Raw genomic sequence first — 6,349 nt, 5'->3', positions numbered from 1 at the left:
GGGTGGCTGAGATGGGAGGATTGCTTGAAGCAGTTTGAAACCAGCCTGGGCAGAAAAGGGAGATCCTGTCTCTCAAAAAAAAAAAAAAAAGAAAGAAAGAAAGAAAGAAAGAAAGAAAGAAATACAAAAAAAGTTAGCTGAGCATGGTGGCGGCTACCTGTGGTTTCAGCTCGGGAGGCTAAGGTGGGAGGATCACTTAAGCCAAGGATGTCAAAGCTGCAGTGAGTTGTGATCATGCCACTGCACTTCAGCCCAGGCAACAGCAAGATCCTGTCAAAAGAAAGAAAGAGACAGAGAAAGGAAAGGAAAGGAAAGGCAGAACAGGGCAAGGCAGGGTGGAGAGTAAGACATGGATAAGTTAAAAGTAAAAGGATGGAAAATTTTATACATGAAAACATGAATCAAAAGAAAGTTGGAATGGCTATATTAGACAAGGTAGATTTTTAGAACACAGAATATTACCTAGGATAAGGATATTTTATAATGACAAAGGGATCCTCTTATCAAGAGGACACGATAATCCTAAATATATGTACCTAATAACAGAGTCTTTAAATATATGAAGAAAAATTGACAAAATACAAAGGCAAAATAAATGAATCCACAATTATTGTTGGAGAGTTTAACACTCCTCTCTCAGTAACTGATAGATCAAGTAGACAGAAAATCAGTATAGCTATGGAAGATTTGAACAACACTATCAATGAATTTGACCTGACATTTATAAAACACTCCAATTAACACTGGCAGAAGGTATATTCTTTTTTGAGTACACCTAGAACAATCACCAGGATAGATCATACTGGAGGCCATAAAACAAGTCTGTGTGTGTTCATTTGTGTGTGTATGTACATATAGAAATTAATTTAAATGAAAACAGAAAAACAATGGAAACAAAAGTTGTTTTTTGAAAATATAAATAAAATTGATAAAACTCTAGCGAAACTGATGAAAAATAAAGAAAAGAAGATACAAACACCAACATCAGGACTGAAAGATAGGCCATCACTACACATTCTACAGCTATTGAAAAGATAATAGGGGAATATTATGAATTTCATGCCAATAAATTTGATAACTTAGATGGAATGAAAAAATTCCTTGAGATGCAAACCTCATTCAAGAAGAAATCAATAATCTGAATGGCCCCTTCACAATAAAGAATCAAATTAAATTATTAAGTAAATTTAATTCATAGTTTAAAACTTTTATATGAAGAAAACTCCAGAAAACTTCACATAAAGAATTCACTGATGAATTATTCCAAACATCTAAGAATTAAATAATACAAATTCTACACTCAATTTCTCCAGAAGAATAGAAGAGAATGCTTCCTATTTCATGTTATGACATCAACATTACCTTAATACAAAAACCACACAAGATATTATCAGAGAAAATTACAACCAATTTTCTTAATAAATATAAACATTAAACATGTTAACAAAGTTAGAGAAAATCAAATCCATCAATACATAAAAGGGATAACACCTTATAACCAAGTAAAATTCATCCCGGGAATGCAAGATTTAACATTAAAAACCAATTGATGTAATCATCATGTTAATAAATGCAAAAAGAACAACCACAAGTTCATCTCAATAGATTCAGAAAGAGAATTTGACATAAGTCAACATTCATTTATGATAAAAGCTCTCAGCAAACTAGAAATAGAAGGAAACTTCCTCAACTGGATAAAGAGCAGCTACAAAAAGCCTACAGCAAATACTATCCTTAATGGTGAAAGACTAAGTACTTTCACCCTAAGATCGGGAACAAGGTGGATTTATTTTTCTCACGGACTGGGAGAAAATGCTTGTGAAATATATGTCAAAAACAAAACTCAATAATTAAAAGACAGGCCAACTTAAAAACAGAACAGGGTTGGGTTCACACCTGTAATCCCAGCGCTTTAGGAGGCTGAGGCGGGAGGAGGCCAGGAATTTGAGACCAGCCTGGGAAACAAAGTGAGACTCTTTCTCTACAAAAAATTAAGAAATTAGTCAAGCATGGTTGTGCACGCCTGTAGTCCCAGCTACTCAGGAGCCTGAGGTCGGAGGATCGCTTGAGCCCAGGAGTTCAAGGCTGCAGTGAGCTGTGATCACACCACTGCACTCCAGCCTGAGTGACAGAGTGAGACATTGTCTCTCTTAAAAAAAAAAAAAAAAAAAAAAAAATTAACGAGAAGAAAAATGACAAAAAATTAGAATAAACACTTCACTAAAGAAGATCTATAACTGGCAAATTAACACAGGAAAACATGCTTACCATCATTAGCCTTTAAGGAAATATATATGAAAACCATGAGATACCATGCCACACTCATAGAATGGCTAAAATTTAAAAGACTATGCTGACTAGGATGATGACAAGGGAAGTGGAAGAACTAGAACCATCCATCATACATTGCTGGCAGAAATACGAAATGGTAGAGCCACACTGGAAAACAGTTAAAAAAATTGTTTTAAAGAATGCATATACCATATGACTCAGTAATCCCTTTCAGGTATTTATCCAAAAGAAATGAAACTAAATGTTTTCACAAAGTTTTGTACTCAAATGTTTATAGCATTCATCCCAGGAATGCAAGATTTAACATTCAAAACCTTCATGTGAACCAAAAACTAGAAACAATCTAAATACTCATCAACTGTTGACCAGATAAACAAACCTCAGTATGTTCATATAACGGACCACTACCTAGAAATAAAAAGGAACAAACCAATGATACACACAACAATATGGATGAATCTAAAAAAAGGAAGCCAGACAAGAGAAAGCAATTACAAAGGACCACACGCTGTGTGATTCTGTGTAAATAAAACTCTAGAAAAGTCAAAACTCTACTGACAAAAGGCAAATCAGTGATGGTCATGGGTAAGAGGTAGGAGGAGAGGAATGCCTATAAAGCAGCACAAGAGAACTTTTTGGGGCGATAAATTTTGCTGCTGTAGACATTTACGTAGACGTTTTTGTGTGAACATGTTTTTGTCTTGGGTACACCCCCAGGGAAAGGAAATTACCAGATTGCATAACTCTATGTTTAACTTCTGGAGGAACCATGTCTCTATCATGATTGCAGCAGTGGTTACACACTGTATACATTTGTCAGAATTGTACACTTACATTACAATTAAGTGACTTATTGAATTGTCCACTTAAAATTGGTCCATTTTCTTCCATATAAATTACACCTCAGAAAAGTTAATTTCTTAAAGCAAAAAATACGAAATTAAACAAAGAAAAAGAAACTATTGTAATTAATCCTGGATTACACACTTTACTAAAGTACAGTGCTCAAATTGATAAGATGCAGCCAAATTTCTACTCACTTTGTGCTGTGTAGACCCTGCTAGTTTCCTGTGCCTATTCTAGAAGCTGTGGTAGAAATATGGCCATTAGAGAGGAAAGGCCCGGGTTTCCCTTCTGGAACCATCATCTACCACCAGATGGGCATATGGCATGTTAGTTGCCTCCAAATCTCCCCTGCTTCAAGAGTCCTCCACCTCCACCTCCAACAAAGAGTACCTTCTCTGAGCATCTCTGGAGCTTCTTCTTCAATCTGATTCTATCTGTTTTTCCTTGCTAGGATTCCTCACAGTTTATGGTCCATGGGAAGATTCCTAGTCTAGTCTCTGAATACATACATGTGTATATATATGTATGAACATGTGTGTGCATATATGTATATGTATGTATGCACACGTATGTGTGTGTTTCTATCATTTCTAATGACCTGGAACAGGGGAACACTGTGTGTGCTTAGTCCACCTTCTTGTAACTCTCAGAGCTTAGTTTCAAATAATGACATAAAGGAGCTGCACAAATGGAAAGCAAATAAAAGGCCTATAATTAAAGCCAGTGTATTATTTCGACTGAGTTGGAAGTCAAACATGAAATTTCTCATTAAGAATTTAACTCTTTCATTAATAAATGTATCTAGTCTGCATATGTCCTATTTGAGGTCTCTCACTCTTCCCAGAAAAGTCCTGAAGTGTATTTACGAAGAACGCCAAAGTATATTAGTGCTGGATTTTTAGAATGACTTATAGATGATAGAGGTAGCTAGATAGATGACTGATTGATAGATAGGGAGACAGATAGATAGATAGATAATAAATAGATATAAATAAAAGGTTTTCTTTCTTATTTTGTTTTTTAAAGGAACATTAAATATACCTATACGTGTTTTTATTTAAAAGCAATGAAACTGCCATCCAGTACATAAGAAAACCCCTCCCCTGCAGTGACCTTCTAAAATTCTGCCTTAAAACACAAATGGAAGTACATTTGACATCATCTCTCAGTCACAAAACACAAATTCAAAATCTCAAAAGATTTTCTTAGCTCCTCTCAGCAAATAGAAGTGGGTTCTCTGCTTCTAGTTGTACAAAATTGCACCACGAACACTCACCGGATGATGTCTGCCCAGTCAGGCCTGCAGTTGCCCTGCCAGAGGTTTTCTCAGGACTGGAGAAAGTGCCAGAGAAAGAATTGTCAGGGAGCCAAAGTCAGAACACCTGAGACAAGAGTGAGTTGCATGGGCAGAGCTGAGTTATACTTGCACTGTGCTGGTATCCAGGTTCCAAAGTGACATTAATTATTCTGAAAGTTAACAAATGAAACTTGCCATGCACAAACGCATCCAAATATCAGATCTAAATGCCAACTCTATTTCACTAACAAAGGAAAAACTGGACTTGGCCAGAATTATGAAACCCTAAAAACAATTTGCAATCATTTCACCATTCTAGCAAATGCTGGACAGCACCCACAACCAGGAGACAAAACCAGAAGGTTGATAACACACACCACTGCCCCACTGCAGTGGCTTATCCTGTTCAGCTGAAAGAAGAGGGCAGTTGTGATCAAGATATTTCCTCAGAGGACTTCCAATGCAATGGAGATGAATGTGAATATGGAGTAATAGAGAGTGACATTCCTTATGTTGTGTCAGTTTTGAAATCCAGATCGATGGAGATATAGATGTCAGCTCGGAGGACAGGCAGGCTTCATTGCCCATGGACATCACACTGCCAGCACCTGTCCACTCAGCAGGTTGTGTGCCTTGAAGTGGAGGAGTACACATGATCTCCTCCTCAGCCTCCCGCCCCGGGCTGCAGCGGCCGTAAAGGGGATGCCTCCTCTCAGTCTGTGTCAGCACATGGAGATCAGTCAGGGGAGACCGCTTATAATTATTTGATGCAGATGGTCACTTCATCAGCATAAACACTAAGCAGCCAGTTACAGGGTGTTGCCCTGCCTCCCCAGCCCTCTTCCTGAGCCGGCCTTCAGGCTATCAGGCAATATATTTTAAGCAAAAAAATAGCCTGCTCATACCACTCTGGAGGCCTCTTTTGTGAGACATGCAGCCATTTCTTTTACGAAATCCTAAAAGAGTGACAAGTTTCTGGGTTCATGGGACTTAACGGCCAGATGAAGAGACTCACCTATTCCTAAATAAGGTCATCAGAATGCTTGAAACTTGTAATGAGAGCTGGCAGGCTCCTCAGCTCCCCTTCCGTGGGTTGAGCCTCTCTGTATTTGTGGCAGGTCCTGAATTAGAGAAATGGGCTCTCACAGTGACACTGAGCTAAGGCTTGGTGGTCCACAGCCTCATTTTGACAACTCACCTCCCCCAGCACAAAGAAAGGACCCTGGGGAGCAGGGAAAGCCTAGGGATGCAGGGCTCCAAATTTTAAAGTGAAAAAGAAATGTAAGAGACAAACAAGTCCAGTGGGTTTTCAATATTTTTTAGTAGGATATCTCATTTTGCAAATAACACCACTGAGTGAGTGCTAAAGTATAGAACAGGAAAAGCAAAACTGTTTTAAAGGAGAGTCTGGGGCTCCAGAGCCCCATCCACCTGCCTCCATCCCCATCCCCAGCTGCCACAGAATTATCTGACAAAACCTAGGTCTTCTCACAGAGCAATTTGGAAAACACTGATTAATAGATGCTCTTACTGGGGAGAAGAAACAGAGCCCCAGAGAGATGAAGTGACTTGTCCAAGGTCAAACATAGTGAACTCTTCCAAAGTGGCAAAAAATAAAAATAAAAACCCTCGTGAACCTATAATCTCAGCTCCCTATTCCCCATACCAGGCAGGTGTTCCATGTTGTCCCACTCAATTTGAAGTGTTATTTACAAAAGTGCAGTAACCTTCTTGGACAAAGAGCAATTTGTTTCACCTTCAGCCCCACATTTTCTCCCCGTAAGAAATGATCACCATAGAGGGGTTACGCATATAAGATCATCCAACACAGCCCGTAAAACTCCCCAAAAAGACACCTCATTCTCACCATCAGCCCAGCATACAAGCTCCTTGTCACCAGAAGGGCATGCCCAA

At 38.5% G+C, this 6,349-nt stretch overlaps 2 annotated features.

The window, feature by feature from the left end:
- Window positions 4,648–5,147: an enhancer, noted in NCBI's record as "H3K4me1 hESC enhancer chr18:24302019-24302518 (GRCh37/hg19 assembly coordinates)". NCBI's record gives its function as "activates a minimal SCP1, AML or CMV promoter by ChIP-STARR-seq in naive H9 embryonic stem cells {active_cell/tissue: H9 hESC(naive)}" and the evidence as "EXISTENCE:reporter gene assay evidence [ECO:0000049][PMID:30033119]".
- Window positions 5,148–5,649: an enhancer, noted in NCBI's record as "H3K4me1 hESC enhancer chr18:24301517-24302018 (GRCh37/hg19 assembly coordinates)". NCBI's record gives its function as "activates a minimal SCP1, AML or CMV promoter by ChIP-STARR-seq in naive H9 embryonic stem cells {active_cell/tissue: H9 hESC(naive)}" and the evidence as "EXISTENCE:reporter gene assay evidence [ECO:0000049][PMID:30033119]".

This window comes from Homo sapiens, chromosome 18 (assembly GCF_000001405.40).
Source record: "Homo sapiens chromosome 18, GRCh38.p14 Primary Assembly".
Taxonomy (NCBI): domain Eukaryota; kingdom Metazoa; phylum Chordata; class Mammalia; order Primates; family Hominidae; genus Homo; species Homo sapiens.
This window is presented reverse-complemented; position numbering and strand designations above follow the sequence as displayed.